Source organism: Homo sapiens, chromosome 6 (genome assembly GCF_000001405.40).
Source record: "Homo sapiens chromosome 6, GRCh38.p14 Primary Assembly".
NCBI classification, from domain to species: domain Eukaryota; kingdom Metazoa; phylum Chordata; class Mammalia; order Primates; family Hominidae; genus Homo; species Homo sapiens.
In genome coordinates, this window is record NC_000006.12 from 155,070,791 (window position 1) to 155,094,810 (window position 24,020).

At 43.7% G+C, this 24,020-nt stretch overlaps 1 protein-coding gene across 2 annotated transcripts in view; it reads left to right on the plus strand.

The window, feature by feature from the left end:
- Positions 1 to 24,020, plus strand: part of TIAM2 (TIAM Rac1 associated GEF 2) — a 262,409-nt gene that overhangs the window by 75,476 nt on the left and 162,913 nt on the right. For both annotated transcript variants that reach the window (NM_012454.4, NM_001384546.1), the window contains exon 2: positions 19,499 to 19,589. The gene's annotated coding sequence lies outside the window, so the exon portion shown is untranslated. The remainder of the gene's footprint in view (positions 1 to 19,498; positions 19,590 to 24,020) is intronic.

Genomic DNA, 24,020 nt, shown 5'->3' on the forward strand with positions numbered 1-24,020 from the left:
GACTTAGTTCCCAAAGAGCTCCTTTATTTATGTGTGTCTACATGACTGACCCTATTGGCTCAGCTTGGGTTTTGAATGTACTGTAAGAAATATTTTTTAGGGGAGGCATGGTAGCTCACGCCTGTAATCCCAGCTCTTTGGGAAGTCAAAGTGGGTCGTTCACTTGAGCCCAAGAGGTCGAGACCAGCCTGGGCAACATGGCAAAACCCTGTCTCTACTACTAATGAAAAAAATTCGTGGGACATGGTTGTGCATGCCTGTAGTCCCAGCAGCTTGGGAGGCTGAGGGGGGAGGATGGCTCGTGCCCGAGAGGCAGAGGTTGCAGTGAGCCATGATCACACCACTGCGCTCCAGCTTAGGCAACAGAAATGAGACTCAGTGTCAAAAAAAGAAAAAAAGACACATATTTAGAGACAGGTGTGTTTATGTGTTACAGAAATGAATGGTTATGTGTTGGCTTTCCAGACAGCTTTGGAGCACGTCTCCACGGATCTTCATCAAGATCCAGAGAACACCTGAACTTACATGACTTGGGATTTCTGGATAATGGGAAGAAAGCGGAAGCAGCATTTTAGACTGGACTTATTAAACGTTAAGATGACCATATGCCAGAACTTGTATTTGTTTATTAAGTTGTTATTCAATACTCAGTGCCCAGATATTGTTTACTATGCCCTGCATCAGGCAGAGCTGAGCAAAGACTCATTGAACAGAGCTCAGGCCCTAGTGAAACAGATGGGCATGCAAGTGAATACTTCCTGCATAGCATGGTAAGTGCTTGAACAGAGATCTGTGCAAGGTGCAGTGATACACCTGAAAGTAAAGAATTATTGGCCGGGCGCGGTGGCTCACGCCTGTAATCCGAGCACTTTCAGAGGCCGATCACCTGAGGTCAGGAGTTCAAGACTAGCCTGGCCAACATGGTGAAACCCCATCTCTACTAAAAACTACAAAAATTAGCTGGGTGTGGTGGTGGATGCCTGTAATCCCAGCTACTTGGGAGGCTGAGGCAGGAGAATCACTTGAACCTGGGAGGTGGAGGTTACAGTGAACCGAGATCGCGTCACTGCACTCCATGCTGGGCAACAGAGGGAAACTCTGTGTCAAAAAAAAAAAAAAAAAGTAATAAAATAAAAGTATTATTATCTCTGTTATGTGTTGTTAGGGAAGACGTTTTAGAATGAACCGCTGAAGTGGCTCTTAAGAATGAGGAGAAATTTGTCAAGCTTCTAAAGCAGAGGAGAGCGTGTCAGCTAGGACCAAAGGCATGGAGGCATTTGGAACACATGGTATGATGTGGACTACAAGGAATTTACATTGGTGGCTGGGAGGACAGGAGCTGGAAAGGTCAGTAGAGTTTTGTATGTCATGCAAAGAAGTATTAATTGTGAGGGATGGATGACATTGAAAGGTTTCAAACTCGAGCATAACAGGATCAAATTGGTGTTTTAGAATTTTCCCCTGGCTGCTGTGTGGAGGAGAGATTTGTGGAGAGAGAAAGGACTGGAAATCCTCCAGTAGGAAACAACCGAGGCATCGGGCTAGGATCAGCCTATGAGGGCTGAACGAACTCAGTGCAGCAAAGGAGAGGGAGGCATACATTAAAGAGTTACTTAGGAAGTACCTGCCAGAGGATTTGATGGCCATTTTGGTGTGCATGATGAGGGAAAGGAGAAGCAAGCCTAGGGTAATTGATGGGTTCCTGTCTTTCCAGAGCGGCTGGACAGAGGCACCATTATCCTGGTTTGGATGCACAGAAAGGGGGGCCAGGTGATAAGGGGTTAGGGTAGGGTTGAAAAAGAATAACGAGTTTGGGTCATGTTGATTTTTTGAGGTGGTACATCTGGTAGGTGGGTAAGTGGGTCTGGAACTCAGAAGAAATAGAGTCTTGGTTGTCGTCAATGATAGTGAAAGCCGTGAAGTCAGCCTGGAAGAGAATATTGAAGACACAGAGATGAGGACCAAGCCTGGAGCACTGACAAATGCTGGCCAGCCCAGGAGGTGGGCACAGAGGGAGGAGTTCAGGAAGGAGGCTGGGTCAGTTGTGGGGCAGGGAATCACCTGTCGTCAGGGAGCCACTGAAGCCAACAGAGGACGGAGCCTCAAGAAGTTGCATCGAGGGTTCGTCCTTATTTTGGATTATGTGATGAATGAAAAGTGTTACTAAAGATGAACTGTAGTCTATAGTTAGCACAATTAAAATCCATATTTGCTATTAAGAACAAAGTTTACTTTTAGAGACCATTTATAAATTGGTGTTTTTCATGCCTAAGATCTGTTATTAAAGGTTAGAGATTAAAGGACTTTATAAAGAATTATCCATTATTTGCTGTGCCTGGTGCTTTTCTTGCTTCAGATTGATTAAGTTCTTTTTTTTTTTTTTTTTTTTTTAGACTAAGTCTCGCTCTGCTGCCCAGACTGGAGTGCAGTGGCACAATCTCGGCTCACTGCAACCTCCACCTCCCGGGTTCAAGCGATTCTTGTGCCTCAGCCTCCCAAGTAGCTGGGATTACAGGCGTGTGCCACCACACCTGGCTAATTTTTGTATTTTTAGTGGAGATGGGGTTTCACCATGTTGGCCAGGCTGGTCTCTAACTCCTGACCTCAAGTGATCCACCCGCCTCGGCCTCCCAAAGTGCTGGGATTACAGGTGTGAGCCACCGTGCCTGGCCAGATTCACTGAGTACTTTTATAGAAGGGCCTGCGTCCATAGCCAAGTCCTACTTTATATAATTGTGATATTATACAGATATTTCCACTTTGGTTCCATTTCCTCTCATTATAAACCCTGCTTCTCATAGTGGCTTTGGGTGCCTAACCTGGACTTACAGAGCAAGAAAGTGAGGCTCCAGGCCACACCCACCAGAGCAGCTGAGAAGAAAAAAAAAAGAATTGAAGAGTCTCTGGTCTCTGCTTAACAGCGAGCTACCCCGCTTGCTTATAATTAAAAGTCTATTACGATTTCTACTTCAAACGTAACATTTTCCTACCTGCAGTAGATACCCTTAGAAGAGGAGTTTGGAACCTTCCCATAGGGCAGAGTGGGAGTGCTTCTCAACAAAATACTCATTAGGACCTTTCATCTCAAAGATGAAAGATCTTTCAGACATTGGTAATCCCCACAAAATCCCTTTGAGGCTGGTAGGTGGAAAATGCAATGTTCTGGATGGGGAGAGAGACGTAAGGGTGCCTGCCCCAGAGCAACTTGTTGGGAACTCAACGCTTGAGCCAAGATACTGATTTGTGATCTCAACCCAGATGCACCACAGTTGCTATCCTGTATTGATGACACCATTATGATACCAGGTCCTACTTCAATCATGCACTGTCATGCCTCAGCAATACCTGATATTATTATTGATTTGTTGATATGGCTACAAGGGATCTAATGAAAAGAAAATTCCTAACGACAAACTTAATTTTGACTTCCTCTCCATATCAGAGTTAACTTCTAAAGTTTTCCTTTGTAAAATAGTGCACCATGACTTTAAAATATCTGTGTAAGGTTTAAGAATATTAATTTTATTTAATTAATTTAAAGTAATGATAAGCTTTTTTTTTGTTTGTTTTTTTGTTTTTTGAGGTGGAGTCTCGCTCAGTCGCCCAGGCTGGAATGGCATGATCTTGGCTCACTGCAACCTCCACCTCCCAGGTTCAAGGGATTCTCCTGCCTCAGTCTCCTGAGTGGCTGGGACTACAGACGCCCATCACCACACCTGGCTAATTTTTATATTTTTAGTAGAGTCGGGGTTTCGCCACGTGGGCCAGGTGGGTCTCGAACTCCTGACCTCACGTGATCCGCCTGCCTTGGCCTCCCAAAGTGCTGGGATTACAGGCATGAGCCACCCCACTTAGCCTGTAACGATAAGTTTATTTCAAATGTTCTTCCAAATTATTATCAAGAAGGCTTTTTCTTGTGTGTTTATTACGTTCTTTCTAAGAGACTAAGAGGCTGTTAGTTCCTAAAGCCACTGATGCACTTTAGTCTTCAGAGCTGATCCCAGCGGTCTTTGAAATAGCGTTAGAACCTCTGAGGATTCAGCCTGGGTGGAGACTCTGTCTCAAAAAAAAAAAAAAAAAAAAAAAAACCTCTGAGGATTGTCAGTAGAGGTGGAGATGGGACCTTCTGACCACAGCGCTGGGGAGTCAGAGGGTGGAGGGGCAGCTGGTCAAATGGTGAGTGGTGAATGGGTCTCGATGCAATTCTGGATAAGTCTGGATAAGGACGGTGGGTGCAGCCGCGGCTCTGGACCAGGGTGGCAGGGTGTGGTACAGGGCCAGAGGGCAGTGGGCAAGGAATGCAATCCTGGCTACTCCAGGTTACTCTCTCACAGCGGGAAGGGACTAAATGTAGGAGGTGAGGGGAGGCTGGGTTGGATTAAATGTTCAAGTTGACAAAGTAAAAAGAAAAATTCTCTGCATAATTATTAATAGTACAGAATGTTTTCAAAACTGTGCTAATGATCATAGGAACATTTTAAATGTAGCTATGGTCTGTTGTAGCTAGATGACGATAAACTAAATGGAATATTGGCCTTTTGTGTCGTTACTTGGGAATGAAAAAAAAAAAAACCCAACAACCAACTCTTCAAGACAGCTGTCATCCTTGTGTTTTTATTTTACTTTTCTTAAGGGTTGGGCCACAGTGACTCTACCATAGCTTTCCTCCCCTGATCCCACTGGGGAGTCCCTAGGATTTTGAATGAGGTGAGAACAAGATTTGACAAAAAGAATTAGTGTGTAATAACACAGAAGGAGAGAATAAAGGTTGAAGATTCCTTATCTGAAATGCATGGGACCAGAAGTGTTTTGGATTTTGAATTATTCAGATTTTTGAATATTTGCATATACATAATGAGATAGCCTGGGGATGTTTCCCAAATCTAGACATGAAATTTGTTTATGTTTCATAGATACCTTATATGCATAGCCCGACGGTAATTTTATATTCGAAAGAATTTTGTGCATGAAACAAAGTTAAGGTACATTGAACTGCTGCCAGAAAGCAAAGGTGTCACTATTTCTGCCATCCGTGTGAACAATCTGTGGTTGTATACTATCACCATTATTCCTTAATTCGTATGATTACCAAAAAGTGATCATTTTCTTACACTTATTCATATGACATACTATCAATACACTGAAAAAATAACGTGTAGCGAAGCAACAGCATAGCATCCCCCGAATACCCACATCAGCTGTTAAACCACGCCAACAACAGACAGGGCAGGTTTTCAGTCTCCACCTGCAATGCTGTGTTTTGACTAGAAGCGTCTGCATTTTGACTGTGACCTGTCTCATGAGGTCAGGTGCAGAATTTTCCACTTGCGGTGTCATGTTGGTGCTCAAAAAGTTTCAGATCCTTCATAATAATTGGGTTGGGGCGTGAGGCATGGGGGATGGAGCTTCCTGGGGTGGCTTGAGAGGTGGGAGTGGGTGGAGCATTTGTTCAGGGACCTGACATCTCGGCTCAAATTATATTACTCTGTGGCGTTCCAAAAATCAATAAATGTGGGTGTCATCCTCTTCCCACCCTGCACCATCTACAGTCATTTTCTCATTGAGGTTTTAGTTATTCATCCTTACGAAATAATAGGTAATAAAATGCCTATGGGAAATATGTTGCTAATTCCATGCCGAAGTAATTAAAATTAAAGGTCTGAAATGCTTTCAGTAGAAGGAAATTCTGCAATTATGGCTTAGGGGGAAGTACAAAGAATTTAGGCCTAGTAATTGTAATTTGATGCTAATTGGTATGGACTTTCTAATTTGTTAACTGAGAGAGGTGGGGATTGGTTGCTGGGTGGACAACTAGGAGAACAGCAAAATCCTGAAAATATAACGTAGGTCAAACCCTTAGTCACATCCCTGCTACTCAGTGTTTGAAATTCACATCCTTTTCTTTTCTTTTTTTTTAGACAGAGTCTTGCTCTGATGCCTAGGCTGACAGTGCAGTGCAGTGGCACGTGATTGTGGCTCACTGCAACCTCCACCTCCCAGGTTCAAGCGATTTTCCTGCCTTAGCCTCCCGAGTAGCTGGGATTACATGCGTGTACCGCCATGCCTGGCTAATTTTTGTATTTTTAGTAGAGACGGAGTTCTGCCATGTTGTCCAGGCTGGTCTCGAACTCCTGACCTCGGATGATCCACCCTCCTCGGCCTCCCAAAGTGCTGGGATTACAGGCATGAGCCATAGCACCCGGTCGAAATTCATATCCTTTTCTACAAATTCCTTTTATTTCACATACATAACGTTTATGAATACATTTGTCATAACTCATGCTAATTTATCAGTAATTCCCATAGTTTATTGTACATTGGGCTTGAAAAACAGGAAGCTGTTCTATAAACTCCTAAAGCATGTTCACTATTCTTTTTAGTGATAAGTAATTTTTTTTTTTTTTTTAAAGAACAGGAACCCTATAGGCTTAGCCTTAGGCTCAGCTCAGAAAAGGATCTATAATAACTTGACCATTCAGAAGACTTCCATGCTAGCCTGGGGTTGGAGGAAGCCTCAATGCCCTAAATAATGTAATTGCTATTGATTTTAGAATATTAAGAAAATATTTTTAGAATATTACTATAGATATTGAAGCACAGCAATCTCCAAGTCTCATTGTGCTGCCTTCTCAATTTTCCCTTTGACGTAAAATTTACTCACTCAGTTCCTAGAGAAATATTTTTTAAAAAGGGTTTCAGTATTTGTTAGTAACGGACATTGAGGCCTGGCCTTGGTATTACTGAGTCATCTTGTTAGCCTTTCGCTTGTTAAAAATATTTCGAAGTTTTTATTAGTGCTGCTTACGATGGAAGAAAGCCTGCATTTCATGGCAACGATTAGAGAAACCAGGACGGGAGGAGAGAACTAACATTTATTATTTAACTTTCTTAACTTGTCATAGGGCAGTGTGTCAGGTAATTGAAAGATATTTTCTCATTTTGTTTTCACAGAAGCCCTGGAGGGTGGGCGTAATTGTTTTCATTTTGCAGGGGGGAAATTAGCTGTAGAGAGACAGGTAAGTGACCCAAACCCTACCAAGTGGCAGACCTGGGGTTTGCCTGTAGCGCCTCACTGGCCTATTGATTCATGTGGCTGGCATTCTTATGAATGAGCTCTTTCTACTTTGAAAACACACTTTTGGATTTAACAAGTAATGATGTAACATGTAACTGCTTTGCAATTAATCCTTGCTCAATATTGATTAATGGTGACAGTCTAGTGCTGTGGGAGGGGCTCTCTGATTGCTGACCTCTGACTTCTGCTTTCCAACTTGACTTTTTTTTTTGAGACAGGGTCTCACTCTGTCACTCAGGCTGGAGTGCAGTGGTGCAGTCACGGCTCCTCCTGGGCTCAAGTGATCTTCCTACCTCAGCCTCCCAAGTAGCTAGGACTACAGGCATATGCCACCATGTTTGGCTAATTTTTTTTATTTTTTGTGGAAATGGGCTTTTGTCATGTTGCTCAGGCTGGTCATGAACTCCTGGACTCAAGTGATCTGTCCGCCTAGGCCTCCGAAAGTGCTGGGATTACAGGTGTGAGCCACTGCGCCCAGCCTCGAGTTCACTTTAATGAAAAAAGCACAAGTGACAGCTTGGCCTTTAGTAGCTGCCAGCATTAGGCATCCTTATCTGCTTTTCTCCTTGTACTCACGTCACGCATGGGACCATCAGACTTGGTGCTTCTCTGTGTCTTTTGTGGTTTCAGGCTTCCTGGTTTCTCTGTCATTTCACCCATGCTGTCCTCCTTATGGGGATCCTGGGCCTCCCTGGTTCCTCACGTCCAACTCGGACACATTCTTCAAGGCCAGGCCAGCCAGCAAGGCTTTCCAGCTCTGCCCTGACATCATCCCGCCTCTGTCTGAACTCCCACCCAGGAGAGGTGCTCTCATGCTCGGTGATCCTAACAGCCTCTGGCAGGCAATCTTTCCTGCTCCCAGTCTGCTCTCATTTAATGGGTGCAGCATCTGCCTTTATCTCTCTGGAAGTAGATTCCACACACTCTTCAAATCCTTTTTAAAGTTCTGAAGTTTGTTTCATTACAGAAGTTGATGTTTTCCGTTAGGTGTGTTTTGTTTGCTTCTCCCTTTAAGCTGGATCCCAAATATATCTTCCTCTAGTTTGACTTGATGATCTTAGTGGTTATTGCTGCCTGAAATCCTGTTTCAGATACATTTAATGGATTTTCTTGTGTTTTTTGGTGTTTTTCTTTTTTTTTTGTAAACCAAGGATAGTTTCTTTCCCTCATTCTGGATGACCAGTTTATCTTTGTTTTTTTGTTTTTGTTTTTTTGAGGCAGAGTCTTTCTCTCTTGCCCAGGCTGGAGTGCAGTGGTGCGATCTCGGCTCACTACAACCTCTGCCTCCTGGGTTCAAGCGATTCTCCCACGTCAGCCTCCCGAGTAGCAGGGATTACAGACACCCGCCACCATGCCCAGCTAATTTTTGTATTTTTACTAGAGACTGGGTTTCACCATGTTGGCCAGGCTGGTCTCAAACTCCTGACCTCAGGTAATCTTCCGGCCTTGGCCTCCCAAAGTGCCGGGATTACAGACGTGAGCCTCCTCGCCTGGACCCAGATGGCCAGTTTATCTTGCCTCTTTCTGGAATTTGTCAGATGTCTTTGCTGTCTTTTTTCCCCTTTGGCTCTAGGTCCTTTGATTACTGGTGCTGTGCCTGATTCCTCCTTGTGTAATTAATGCATAGTGCCTAGCACACCAACCTTGCTAGAAATTGGGACAAATGTTACTGTATGTGAAATGACTGACTTGTCAGCTATAGTCAGTACAGCTGGGGGTTCAGATGTTCATCTTGTGAAACTTGGAGCTGACTCTTTATGGATCCTAGCATTTGCTTTGTTCAAAAAATTTCTAATAGAGGCCAGGCACAGTGGCTCACGCCTGTAATCCCAGCACTTTGGGAGGCCTAGGCGGGTGGATCACTTGAGGTCAGGAGTTCGAGACTAGCCTAGCTAACATGGTGAAATCCCATTTCTATTAAAAATACAAAAAATCAGCTGGGCGTGATGGTGCATGTCTGTAATCCCAGCTTCTCAGAAGGCTGAGGTAGGAGAATCGCTTGAAACTGGGAGGCAGAGGTTGCAGTGAGACGAGACTGTGCCACTGCACTCCAGCCTGGTTAATAGAGTGAGACCTTGTCTCAGAAACAAAAAACAAAAAACATAACCCCAAAAGTTTCTTATGTGGATTTGCTGCTTGGATCGTTCTGATGATGGTAAAATGAAACAGGAACAGCTCTCTGACCCCTGGAAACTCTCATGTGTTCCTTTCAACAAAATTCATTGATGAATCACAACCCAAAGTAGCCTTCTGTCAAGTGTTTTTCTCCCTTGCCAGAGAGGCACGTTATCCGCCCCGTGGCTGTCAGCTTTATCCTCCTTAGCATTGTTCAAAACCTTATCTCTGATGTCCATACCGCTGACACAGGTATCACAAGGGCCTTCTCGGTGGGCTGGTGCCTCTTTATCTCCCTTGGACTGGTTGTCAGTGGGAGGAAATGAAAACACTTACGGAGAGTGCTTAAGAGAGAATTTATTACAAAACTACATTTTGTGGGCAAGGTATATAACCACAGCTTTTCTTGTTCTGAGATATTTAGCTTTGGACAGAAGTTTAGGTAAAGCAACATGGCATCCTTTTTTTTTTTTCTGGGAGACAGAGTCTTGCTCTGTCCCCCAGGCTGGAGTACAGTGGCACAATCTCTGCTCACTGCAACCTCCGCCTCCCAGGTTCAAGCGATTCCCCTGCCTCAGCCTCCTGAGTAGCTAGGATTACAGGTGTGCGCCACCATGCCCAGCTAATTTTTGTATTTATAGTGGAGACGGGGTTTCACCATGTTGGCTGGTCTCGAACTCCTGACCTCATGATCCGCCCACCTCAGCCTCCCAGAGTGCTGGGATTATAGACGTGAGCCACTGTGCCCAGCTGCAACGTGGCATCTTCAAGTGCCAGGTCAAAAATGGCGCCTTTTAAGTTACCCAGAAAGTACAGTTAGTATGTTGCTATAAAGTAGCTTTGGAAATAATGCTTCCCATCCTGACCAACATCCCCAGTCTTGGGATGAACCTGTGAGATATCCCCAGAGGGCAGCGTGACAGTTGAAGTAGATCTTGAAATGAACCTTGCCTGGGATGAGCTCGATTCTTCTCTGGAGAGGTCTGTAGCACTCACTTTCTCAGCTAAGCTCATGCCTCTGAAATCATTGTTTCCTGGAGGTCCACAGTGAGGGGGCCAGTCAGGAAATATTTCTTTGTTTAGTGAATCGTTAGCTTTTGCTTTGTCTACAGGAAGGAAAAGTGTGACAGCTTTGAAAAAGAAAGAGGGTAAAATATTTTAACCACCCTTGGTGTCATTTGTGGCAGCCTATAGCATTAGAGCCTTTGAGAACAGATCTTTCCAGATTCTGCTTAAGTCCAGGGATTCTGTGACCGCAGAAATGACTGGCATCTCCATCTGCTCGTGCATCTGTTTGTTTCTTCCTTCATTGATTCACTCATTCCCCCCGCCCATGTACTTACAGTCATTCAACAATTATCTACTTTCAAGGCATTGGGAAAGGGATCATTGGTCACACTGTCTTTATTATAAATGAGTCTTCTGAAAAAAAAAAAAAGCCACAATGTATTTTTCCCATAACATGCCACTTTTCAGAAATTATGTCTAGTCTTGGAATGAGGTAAAGTTACCGTTTGGAAAATGCACTTGGCTCAGTCAACTGAGCCCTGAGATAAAGCTAGGAGTCCCTGTCCAGCCATGGTTAACTTCTAGGAACCATTCACACAGAGCCCAGGCAGGCAGAGGCTCCCTGAAAGCCACTTATTCCACAGGTACTTGTTGAGGGCTGTTTAAGCCACAGTTCCATAGGGATGGCTCAGCCTCCGTGAAAGGTTTGAACACACTGCTTGATACAAAAGTGGTTGAGGAATTTGTTTGGTGCTTGCCCTTTCAAGTGATGTGTGAATGTTTCTTTCTTGTTGTCAGGTCAGTAAATCTCTCGTTTTTTTTACCCCCTGACTTTCTCTTAAGGAGCACTTGAATCCCTCTTGTAGGGTAGCTGCTGCTTGCATTTTTGTTCTCGCTCAAGCCACCTTTTTCATCAGCTGTTGTGCCAATCTTCTGCCTCAGTAGTTATTCAGTGGTCCCCCATTTGGTTTTATTTATTCACCTCTTTCATCCCTATCCTGCCTCAGTACTGAAAAGAAGCACTTTGCTCAATCTAAGGATGGGGTAAAGAAAAGGATAATATCGTACTAATAGGCCAGGCGCAGTCGCTTACACCTGTAATCCCAGCACTTTGGGAGGCCGAGGTGGGAGGATCACTTGAGACCAAAAATTCGAGACCAGCCTGGGTGACACAGTGAGACCTTGTCCCTACACAAAATAAAAAAATAGCCAGGTGTGGTGGTGCATACGTATAGTCTCAGCTACTCAGGAGGCTGAAGCGGGAGGATTGCTTAAGTCTGGGAGGGAGACGCTGCAGCAAGCCATGATCATGCCACTGCACTCCAGCCTGGGCAGCAGAGCAAGACCCTGTCTCTAAAAACTAGCTAACTAAATAAAATAGGCCAGGCACTGTGGCTCACGCCTGTAATCCCAATACTTTGGGAGGCTGAGGTGGGTGGATTACCTGAGGTCGGGAGTTCAAGACCAGCTGGACCAACATGGAGAAATCCTGTCTCTACTAAAAATACAAAATTAGCTGGGCGTGGTGGCACACACTTGTAATCTCAGCTACTCGGGAGGCTAAGGCAGGAGAATCACTTGAACCCAGAAGGCGGAGGTTGCAGTGAGCCAAGATTGTACCATTGCACTCCGGCCTGGGCAACAAGAGTAAAACTCCATCTCAACCCAAAAAAACCCCAATAAATAAATAAATAAATAAATAAATAAATAAATAAATAAATATCGTAGAAGTGCAAGCTGTTCCTTTAGTGAATGGATAGATATCATGTCTTTTGGTAGTTCCTTTAGCTGTTAAAGTAGGGTATTTTGCCTATTGTAGAGAGAGAGCCTTACTATACTTGGAGCTTTTATTGGTGAAGTTAACTAGGTGGGAGGTTCTGACAGATGGTGAGGGATATGGAAGGGATAATCCAGAGTCCCTGCTACTTTTTAACACTCCCTCCCCAAAATCATTCTCTTCTATTTGTTTATGAATCTTATTCCTTCTTTCTTCTCTCGCCTCATCTCTCTTTGCCAGGACTGATGATGAGATGGTTCTGAGTATTGATTGACAGGGCTGGAAAAGAAGTAGAGGTGGGGCCGGGCACAGTGGCTCATGCCTGTAATCCCAGCGCTTTGGGAGACCGAGACAGGTGGATCACCTGAGGTCAGGAGTTCAAGACCAGCTCGGTGAACATGGCGAAACCCCTGTCTCTACTAAAAGTACAAAAATTAGCCGGGGATGGTGGCGTGCACCTGTAATGCCAGCTACTCAGGAGGCCGAGGCAGGAGAATCACTTGAACCCTGGAGGCAGAGGTTACAGTGAGCCAAGATCGTGCCAGTGCACTCCAGTCTGGGCAACAGAGTGAGACTTTATCTCAAAAAAAAAAAAAAAAAAAAGAGAGAGAGAGAGAGAGATGGGCAAGACACTTATTTCATAGGAAGGAGGAAGAGGGAAGCAGGCATTTACTGCTGTGGCCACACAGCTGGTTTCCTGGCCCCGTGCAGCTTTATTTCTAATGTGCAATGTGATTGTCTGCCCCTGTTGTCCACAGGACTAGCCTGCTGCCATAAACATGGTGCATGTTGTAAATATTGCACAAGCCTCCCCAGATACTAAATATGTGTAATTCTTGGGGCATGGATTGTGTGGTTCATTTGGAAGTGATGAGGAATTATTATATTGCTGTTCCCTAATGAAGAAAGTCACTTTGCCTGGTGAGTTTTGTCTGTCAACTGGATGAGGATCATCCCTCTGTCTGGAAGCCAGAATTCAGTGGCAGCTTTTAGATACCAATGCTAAGTCAATTTCTTTTGTCTTGGCAAGGGATGGCATAGTATTTCCAGAAGTAAAGTCTTATATGCTGGACAATGTGGCAACAGATGACATACGAAACCAGATAAATGTAGCCTTAGGGCTTCAGGGCAAATGCACCAAGAGAACCAGGCATAAACCTCCTGGCATTTTTTGGCCCAGCCCTGGAAATCCTAGTGTCACGTTGGCTGTACTATATAGGTTGAAGCAGAATCGAGGTGAAGGGGGCATAGGGCTGCCCACCTCCCCTTCCTAAGAGGAGTGTCAGAGAACTTACTGACCTGTTTTAAAACACGAATAGGATCCTAGTGGAGAAAGATCCATTCTGATCTACCTGGGGCACTGCATGTAGGTAATTTCTGTGGTGTGAGTGTTACTATTCTTGTATTTGAGTCTTACTTGAAGACAGGGATAGGGGCCACTCTGGTGGGGTAGGAGCCACTTCACAGCCTCTTACCCCCACCCCCAACCATGTTCCCCACCACACGTGTTGGGACTAATGGCTTGCTTGTGTACAGGCAAGATCAGAAGCAAGCTGTGTCACCATCGTATTTCCAGCACTTAGCATAGTGACTTGAACAGAATAGATATTCAACAAATACTTCTTGAATTGAATGTCATTAACTAAAAAATAGTGCTAACTTTTGTATCCTTGAGTTTTGTCACTGGATACGTGAACCCTTGTGGGACTCCCAGGAAAGACTTACTCTAAACAGGAGCCAGATTGACTGATGTGATCACCAGCCTAGGGAGAGCAGTGAACAAAATGGGTATACCTTGTTCTCCTTCTAGCTGGCCATTGATTTTTTTTGGTGTTTCACATGGGCTGTTTTATAAATAACAACGGTCTTTTTGTAACTTGGCTTACAGTACTCAGTAAATACTGTGCTCCATGTGTATAGGAGTCTGTCCTTTGGGGAGGATAGACTGAAACTTGCTGTTTTCATTGTAATTAGTCATCCCTTTGTCATGAATGGCAGCTTCTCTCCCATTCTATAGTCTACTGGGTAACTCTACAGTTTTCCTTTGTTGAGTGCAGCATCTGATTCCATTAGTTCTTTGTGCAGGAACAGTGCATTAGTGTGGACGTGGGAGGCTGGTGAAAATTGTTATTTAAGGCATACCACATTATGATGTAGTCTTACCTAATGCCTTGGAATAAGAGTCACAGAATGGTTTGTTCATTATGTCTGAAATCTCTACGGGCCCTGAGTGATGAGATAATAAGTAATCCACCTGTAAATGGAGACTCTGGAGGGCCCAGTTAGATCCTACAAACCTGGGTCACAGGAGGGGTTAAGGGAGATGGGAGTTACATTTCTCACTCCCAGTCCTGGAAAACATCCCACTTTCTGTATTGTTTTCTTACAAACATTGAGTCGAATCTCTGAATTGATAAGCTGCCTAGCTGATAACGAGGCTAAAGTAAACCCAGCAACTTTAAAACATGTTTTAAATTCAGGGAGATGGTGGCTACAAAGAAGATACAATTTGAAGAAGGCATGAATTTGAGAGAAAATTTTTAGTAACAAATGCATTCTACTTACGTAGAGGTGGGAGGCATGTTTGAAGGGCACAGGGTAAGTAGTAACTTTCTCTTTCCTTCCCCACCTTTTCTCATTGACCTGCATTGACAGTTGTGCTGCGTACTGTGGGCTTGCACACTGGTTCACCTGACAATGAAAGTTTTATAAACTCTGGGCACTCTGAACTTCACCCAGTCCTTGGCAGTAGGCTTCTAGATTGACTAATCATGTAGTATTTCTTAGATGTGGCCATTAAAAAAAAAAACAACTTTGTGATGTAGTTGAAGGTCTGGATTATATTCAGCTTTCGAGTAGGACATGGGGCAGAATCCCTAGCACTGTAAAAATAAAACCACTTTTCATCACAAAGCTCAAGGGAAAAGAATGTAAGGTGTGTTCATGTTAAATTAAAATTACACTGATGTCATGGTGCAAACAGGCAGCTCCAAGGCTGCGGGACTGGCTGGTTTTCATGCTGATAAAAGCATGAGCCATCAGTCTTGATTGATGACTCTGTCCACACGTGGCACCTATGTGCTGTGAGAGATACAAGCACTCTTTGTGTAAGCAAAAGCATAGCATTGCTTGAGTTTTATTATAGATATAGTTTACCTAGCACCACCTTGGATCTCATAGACTCACATACTCAAGGTGCCCTGTTTGATCTTTCTGTGGTCACAAGATATTGCAGTCCCGGCCCACTGCAAATTCTCCCTTAAAATGGGACTTTCCCTGGCAGCGAAGCCCAGTCTCCACTGTTGAAAGAATAGCCACTTGCTGGATTGCAGTCCAGCTCAGGGAAGCTTCATTGTTCACGTGGCACTGGAGCATGTGAGGAACGCAGAGAGGGTCCTGAGGAAGGCGCTGAGATCCAAGGAAGAGCATTCTTGGAACCAGTAACTTGTCATTGCTGGAAACAGAGCTGTTGTAGCTGTTTGGAGATCTGAGTTCTAGTCTTAGCTCTTTCCCGCTGTCTACATGAGAGGTCTACTTGATCTTTACTGGACTTCACTTTCTTCATCTGCAAAGTGAACAGGGATGAAGTCAATGTGCTCTAAGCTTAAATATTCTATAATCCTGCTTAAAATCATTTCCATCCAAAATGACCTGTAGTTGGCCGGGCACGGCGACTTACACCTGTAATCCCAGCACTTTGGAAGGCTGAGGCGGGTGGATCACCTGAGGTCAGGAGTTCGAGACCAGCCTGACCAACATGGCAAAACCCCATCTCTACTAAAAATACAAAAATTAGACAAGTGTGGTGGCGTGCACCTGTAATCCCGGCTACTCAGGAGGCTGAGGCGGGAGAATTGCTTGAACCTAGGAGGCAGAGGTTGCAGTGAGCTGAGATCGCGCCACTGTACTCCAGCCTGGGCAACAGAGTGAGGCTCCATCTTGGAAAAAAAAAAAAAAAACCCCAACAAAAACCACCAAAATGACCAGTAGTTAAGCTGCAGCTTCCTCTTTAACTCAAGTTATGGCGATATGATGGAAAAGCAAGCCAAGCCACATATTAATCACGTTGTATTAGCAATTTGACGAATCAGTTATTTCATGAACACATTTATTAAGCACCCATGAGTAAGGAATTGTGTCAGGCACCAGGGAAACAAAGTACTTCACTTTCAAAGCAGTTCTAGTAAAGGGGAAAGGTAAGTGAGTTCTAGTAAAGGAGACAAATGAGTGAAAAAGAAATAATTGCGAGGCAATTGCCTATATCAGAAAGAGTGGTGAGGTGAAGGAGGGAGCAATAACCCTGTGAGGTTCGGGGTATGATGGTAGGTGATCAGAGGAAGAGACACTTAAGCTGGGTCTTGAGGGGCAATTAGGAGTTCTCCAGGGAGGTGTTCCCTGTAGAGAACAGTATATGCAAAGGCATAGAAACCAAAAAACATGAAATCACATGGTATTTGGAATGAACATGTGGAAAGTTCTGTTATGTAACAGATGCTTGAGATCCAACATTATTATCATTGGAAACATTAAAATATGGCAGATCTTATATTTTATAGTTTTCAGTTAGTAAATCATTTATGAGGCCATCAGTAAAATATTACAAGTCTTGGTTTTTAAAGATTGTCAGTATGATGTATTTAGACAGAGCCTAGTGAAGCTTGATTCAGTATTCTTTTCTTATCATTTGAAAATATTTTTTTCGGCTGGGTGCAGTGGCTCACGCCTGTAATTCCAGCACTTTGGGAGGCTGACGCAGGTGGATCACTTGAGCTCAGGAGTTCGAGACCAGCCTGGCCAACATGGTGAAACCCTGTCTCTACTACAAATACAAAAATTAGCCAGGCGTGGTGGTGGGTGCCTGTAATTCCAGCTGCTTGGGAGGCTGAGGCAGGAGAATTGCTTGAACTCGGGAGGCGGAGGTTGCAGTGAGCTGAGATCGCGCCATTACACTCCAGCCTGGGTGACAGAGTGAGACTCCATCTCAAAAAATGAAATAAATAAAATAAAATAAATAAAAAATTTGTCCATACTGGGTTAATGACAAAGCAAATTTAAAAGTTTTAAGTAAATATGGAATGTATTCTATAAGGTAGGCATTCTTGACCAGATATAACAAATCTCTGAACTAATTATGTCGCCTTGGTCAAATCACACTACCTCTTTGAGTTTTAAATTCTCACCTGTAGAATGAGGGAAATGGGTCCATCCCAATCCTGATATCCTATAAATGAAAACTGTTCTTTTTAGTATGCCAGGTTGTATAGGTGTATTTCTTTTTCTTTCTTTCTTTTTTTTTTTTTTTTTTTTGAGACGTAGTTTTGCTCTTGTTGCCCAGGCTGGAGTGCAATGGCATGATCTCGTTCACTGCAACCTCTGCCTCCCAGGTACAAGTGATTCTTCTGCCTCAGCCTCCGGAGTAGCTGGGATTACAGGCATGCGCCACCACGCCCGGCTAATGTTTTGTATTTTTAGTAGAGACGGGGTTTCTCCATGGAGTTCAAACCCCAGCCACTCCATGTTGGCCAGGCTGGTCTCGAACTCACGACCTCAGGTGATCTGCCCACCTCGGCCTCCCAAAGTGCTGGGATTACAGGCGTGAGCCACTGCACCCGGCCCCGGTATAGGTGTATTTCTATAGCATGAGTCATTGTGATAGTCAAACCTTTCTCAATAGTGACCATTTACACTGAAAGTCTAGTTGTGGTTTTTTGCTACTTTGAGTATGTCACATGTTTCAAGTAATTTATTAAGTATTTTATGTGCATTATTTCATTAAACAGTTAGAATAACCCTGTAGTGTAGATCATATTTCCATTTTATAGTTGAAGAAACCAGAGGCTCAGACAATCTAAATAACTGGGCTGAGCTCACTGAGGTGGTCATGGAGTGGCTGGGGTTTGAACTCCAATCTCAGTCCCCTTGCTCTAAGGCAAGCTTGTCCAACCCATGGCCTGTGGGCCACCTGCGGCCCAGGATGGCTTTGAATGCAGCCCAACACAAATTCGTAAAATTTCTTTAAACATTATTAGACCTTTTTTGCAATTTTTTTTAAAAGCTCATCAGCTATCATTAGTGTTGATGTATTTTAGATGGCACCCAGGACAGTTTCTCTTCCAGTGTGACTCAGGGAAGCCAAAAGATTGGACATCCCTGCCCTAAAGTCTGCATTCTTTATCAAGGACTGCATTCTGGGTTAAGGACACATGGTTATTGCCATAAAACAGTATCTTGTTTACATCACAGAGTTAATATCATGCCTTCTAAAAAGGTAAGTCTCACTATGAAAGCAGTCTGTTTCACATTTTAAACAATGAAAAAAAAGAGGTACTTTCTGATGTGTTGACTAATGGACCATGAGTTTTAATATATAACCAGGTGGTAGCATATCAAATACAGGAAGAAAGTATTATTCTCCATAATAGGAGAGGATCCAGAAACCACCTGTTTTTTTTCGGGGGGGTGGGGGTGTGGGGGGATGGAGTCTCTCTGTCACCCAGGCTGGAGTGCAGTGGCGCTATCTCAGCTCATTGCAACCTCTGCCTCCAATTCTCCTGCCTCAGCCTCCCAAGTAGTGGGGACTACAGGCGTGAGCCACCATATCCAGCTAATTTTTGTGTTTTTAGTAGAGACGGGGTTTCACCGTACTGGCCAGAGTGGTCTCAAACTCCTGACCTCAAGTGATCCGCCCACCTTGGCCTCCCAAAGTGCTGGGATTATAGACATGAGCCACCGTGCCTGGCCTCATCTGTTTAATAAGTTATGAAATTCTGATCCTTTGGCACTACCCACTTGAGTTCTGCTCCAGAATCCGTAACAATGGCTCAAGACATGGTGTTTCTTCGCTGATCCCTCTGCCTGGGGGATCATTTCTCTAAGTTCAAATACCATTCAGATTTCAGGCTAGTTGTCATTTCAGAGAGCCAATTCCTAATCTTCCAATTTAATTTAGCCACTTGTCACTCACTGTCTCATTACCCTATTGACTCTGCATTGCCTGTATCACTCTAGGATATTTTTGTTATTTGTTTATTGAACTGTGTATTTCCACTTGAATGGAGCTCAGTGAGAGCGAGATTTTCTCTCTCATTCACCGCTTTATTTCTAGCATCTGGAGTAGTGGCTTGGTCACAGTAGGCTTGCTCTGTCTGTCAATCATCCATCCATCCATCTGTCCGTCCGTCAGTCTGTCTGTCCATCCATCCATCTATCCATCTCCTGTCTAACTTATCTATATTTATTTCTCTCTCCCCTCCCTCCATCCATTCTATCTTCAAATGGCTTAGTCATGACATTATGAAATGAAGCAGTAAATCTACAGTAAATCTGCTTCTCCAGTTAGGATGTGGGAAGACCTTTTTTCCTTTATAGTTAATCACTTAACTCTTGATTTCTCTTTCAGATTCTTCCTTCTTGTATCAAGCCCAAGATACAACAGAATGCTGAGAAACTGAGCTTCAATTATAACAATCTGATTTTGAAAAATTATTTCTCACTGCCTCTGTGTTTTTGTTTTATTTTGCCAGGGCTCTGTGTATGAATGACAAGGATACCTTCAGCCAGCTCATTCTGGATGAATGAATGATTACACTAAGTGTCCTCCACATTCCTCTGTGGGTAAGTTTGAGGCACTTGTATATCTCAAAGGCTTTAAAAGTATATGTCAGTCTGTATTTCTTTGCTTAATCACCACATTCTCACGTAGCTCTGTTAATTGCACTTTGTATGAGAAGTTGAGTGGGGAAAGCCAAAGCAGGTTTGCTGAATGCTGATAATTGAGGTTCCTGCAAGCAACAGGGCTCCAGAGCTCAGTAGATTATTACAAAAGCACTTTAATTAGATATGCTGGATGGTCCACTCAGTGTGGAAAACGGGTATGCCAGGCCTCTCTGGGACCTTAGGTGGAGAGGATGCAGCCTGGGCAGCTTTAGTTTCCGTCCTTTTATGTGCCACATACTGATAGAGCACACACTTAAACTCCAGACCAAATAGGACCTCCTGCTTGAGAACGCAGAGAGCATATAATTTCTAATTGGAGTTGTAAGATCAGGTAAGCTCAGGGGACGGGGATTTTAGGAAGCCACTGAGGAAAGGTCAGATTCCAACTGTGACCTTAAGGCTGTTTCATTCCGACTGAGGTGTTTTACTGATTGGATGTGTTGGTGTCGCAGGTTAAGTACTAAAGCAGGAAAGCTGAACAGTTCCCCAGCGGCGTTTGAAATGGTGGCAGGTAGTTCCCTGGACTGTTTGCCGTGTCTGGAGTTCGTGCGTGCTTAGCTGAAGCACGCTCAGATGAACATAACCTTCCCAGGCATAACCTTCTGCTGTTTGATTTAGATTGCCCCAGCTTTTCTTGGCTGATTGCTTCATGCTTTTTGGGTTTCAGCTCAAAGTACTCCCTCTGAAGGACGCTGACCACCCAATCTAAAGGACGCCCAGCCACTGCTACCACGCCACGCTCTCTTAGTTGCCTGCAAAGTCCTTGTCCCTCACTGATCGTTTTCTCCTTGCATATTTATGTATCGGCTTGTTGTCTGTCTCCGCCTTCCTTAGAGCAGAAGCTCCACAAGGGCAGGAACCTTCTCTGCCTGGTTCCTCACCTGTCTCCAGAGCCCACAACAGCATCTGTTGCACAGCAGATATGTTTTGTCTGAATGTATGAGTTGAACGGTTAAATGAGGCTCATTGTGTAAATTGCTCAATGTCACATGGTGAGATACTTATTCACACTGGAGGATATTTAAAAGGTTTGTCTGTTTAAACATTTTTTTGAAATGTGAATTCCTCCCTCACATTATGATCAAATTTAACATTAGATTAGATGCAAACAGGAAGTTATCTAATATCTCTGGGTTTATTTATAAATATAATACATATTAAAGCTAGAAATTTTGATCCTAATTTTGGTAAGCTTTGTTTGTGTTGACCTTTTTCTTTTTTTTATCATCTACATTGGAATATCCAAAAGTAGTATCTAATTAGCCTTGGAGAGGTGTTTGTGCTTTAACGATGTTCAAAACTACTGCTGAAATACACTATTTGGAAAGCCTAAGGTCTACAGTTATTTAGAGTCAGACTGCCTGAGTTCTTTGAATCCTGTCTCTGACATTTTCTTGCTAGTGACCTGGAGTAGGTTATTATTGCTATTTTTTTGAGACAGCGACGCGCTCTGTTGCCCAGGCTGGAATGCAGTGACGTGATCTTGGCTCACTGCAACCTCGACCACCCGGGATCAAGCAGTCCTCCCACCTCAGCCTCCTGAGTAGCTGGGACCACAGGCCCACACCACTGGGCCCGGCTAGTTTTTTTTATAATTTGTAGAGACGAGGTCTTGCTATGTTGCTCAGGCTGGTCTCAATCTCCTGGCCTCAAGTGATCCGCCTGCCTCAGCCTCCCAAAGTGCTGGGATTACAGGCGTAATCCCACCCAGGATCAAGCAGTCCTCCCACCTCAGCCTCCTGAGTAGCTGGGACCATAGGCCCGCACCACTGGGCCTGGCTAATTTTTTAATAATTTGTAGAGGCGAGGTCTTGCTATGTTGCTCAGGCTGGTCTCAATCTCCTGGGCTCAAGTGATCCGCCCGTCTCAGCCTCCCAAAGTGCTGGGATTACAGGCATGAGCCACCATGCAAGCTGGGTAAGTTATTAACCTCTTGATGCTTCACTTTCTTCTTATGTAAAATGGGGATAATAAAATTTTCCTTGAAGAATGATTATGATTAAGTATGTGAGTATAGGGGTTATATAAATTTCTGCTGTTTTATTTAGTATATACTCAGATTTTTATATATTCAATATACAAATTAGGTTTAAAAATAATATATTTGCTCATGCCTGTAATCCCAGCACTTTGGGAGGCTGAGGCAGGCGGATCACCTGAGGTCGGGAGTTCAAGACCAGTCTGACCAACATGGAGAAACCCCGTCTCTACTAAAAATACAAAATTAGCCAGGCTTGGTAGTGCATGTCTGTAATCCCAGCTACTTGGGAGGCTGAGGCAGGAGAATCACTTGAACCTGGGAGGCAGAGGTTGTGGTGAGCCAAGATCGCACCATTGCACTCCAGCCTGGGCAACAAGAATGAAACTCTGTCTCAAAAAAATAAATTTTATATTTATATATTTGGGTAGTGGTCATTAAATGGTAACACAAGTTTGAAATTTGTTTTGTTTGCATGGAGAATTTGTTTTGCATTGAAAACAGCAGTCCATTCATGAGATCACCAGAAAGAATAGACTTGCTTATAATAAGTTATACTTCTAATAAGTAACAGTGACAATAAAACTGTTTGCAAACATGCCATTTTCTGTGTGTATAACAATATAGTTGTCTTTTTGGTATCAGACAGACCTGGTTTGAGTTTTCCAGTTGTGCTTGTTTTGTGGCCTTCAGTAAATTGCTAAACTTTGCTTGGCCTCAGTTTCCTCATCTGTAAAATAATGATAATAATACAGTTCAAAGAGGATTGCTGTGAGAATTAAATATGAAAATGTATGTCACACTCCTGGCATGGTGCCTACCTCACAGTGTAGGTGCTTAATAATCCTGAGTGTCCTTCTGTCCCTTTCTCCAGACCGTAGATGGAAGATGCACGTTGATAGCAAGAGGAAGGTGATTGCCATTGGGGAAGGTGTGGAAAGGGCGTCCTGTACATGATGATGAAGGGAGTGGGCTTAGCTTAGCAAGTGGTAAGCTTAGCAGGGAACCCAATTCCGACCTTGAAGTGTCTGAGCAGATGTCATGTGTAAGGGGAAGCAGGGATGCTGTGTCTGATCTGCCCCTGCAGGAAGCACTAGGACCGGCAGGTATCAGTAGTGAAAGGCCACTTTGGGTTTCACGTGAGGAAGACTTTCCTATAGAGCTGTGGAAAGATGAGATGGTGCCTCTTTGCAATAGTGAGCGTCTCAGGGCCGGATGTGGTGTCTGACGACTGGTTGGCTGCAGATCAAGAGCTCTGTAGAGAGGATTCCTCCAAGCACCAGGAAGGCAGACTACATGGCCTCTGCGGCCCTTTTCAATGCTTGTATGTCAGTGGCCCCCTTTCTAAATTCATGCCTGATTATCTGCTTTCCTAGGCCAAGTTGGTTGTATGCCCCCAGAAACCTAGGATTTAGCCTTCTGAAGTCAGGGAGTTGGGACTGCTTATTGTTTTAATTTAAAATGTTTTTTAGGATTGACAATTTTTGTGTTTGTATTTTGTCATTTGCAGCAGAGGCTGCAAACTGGTGAGTTTTGGGCTGGTTCTGGGCTGTGGATAACCTTTGTTTGGCCTAGAAAATGTGATCAGGGGATCACTGTGTTAACTAAATTTAAATTGATTGCCTGCGTTTAAAAACTAAGAATTTTACAAAAAAGCCAAATTTTTAGTGTTTCTTCAAAATGTGGGATTATCTGGCAACATTGGGTTCTACCTTCTCAGCTGGCAGTGGATAGCTGAAGCTGTGTAGATGGTGGCCTTTTGGTTGGGTCATGCGTCAGCTGGTTTGCCACAGTCCCCACCACTCCACACAGTCTTCCCATCATCAAATGTCAGTTGTCATTTTTCATTTACTTAAGTTGTTTTCTTTTAGTAGAATTAGGAGAAAACTGAAACAGTTATTTTTTCAATGTCCATAGTAGTAATGGAAAAACTAAAGATATTTTCATAGTTTCAAACTTCAAGAAAAAAATAGAAGAGGGTATATTTTGGATGTATGCCGAAGTATACTTGTAGAAGTCTAACTTGCAAACAAGTGGTTTCTGTGTCTTTAGACTGCATGACTCAGTCAGGCCTGCTTCACTCAGACTTTTTTTTTTTTTTTTTTTTTTTGAGACAGGGTCTCACTGTTACCCAGGCTGGGGTGCAGTGGCGCTATCTCAGCTCACTGCAGCTTCAAACTCCTGGACCCAAGCAATCTGCCCACCTCAGCCTCCTGAGCAGCTGGGATTATAGGCATGTCCCACCATACCTGGCTATATCTATGGTTTTTTTTTTTTTGTTTTTTTGTTTTTTTGTTTTTTTTTGTAGAGATGAGGTTTCACTATGTTGCCCAGGCTGGTCTTGAATTCCT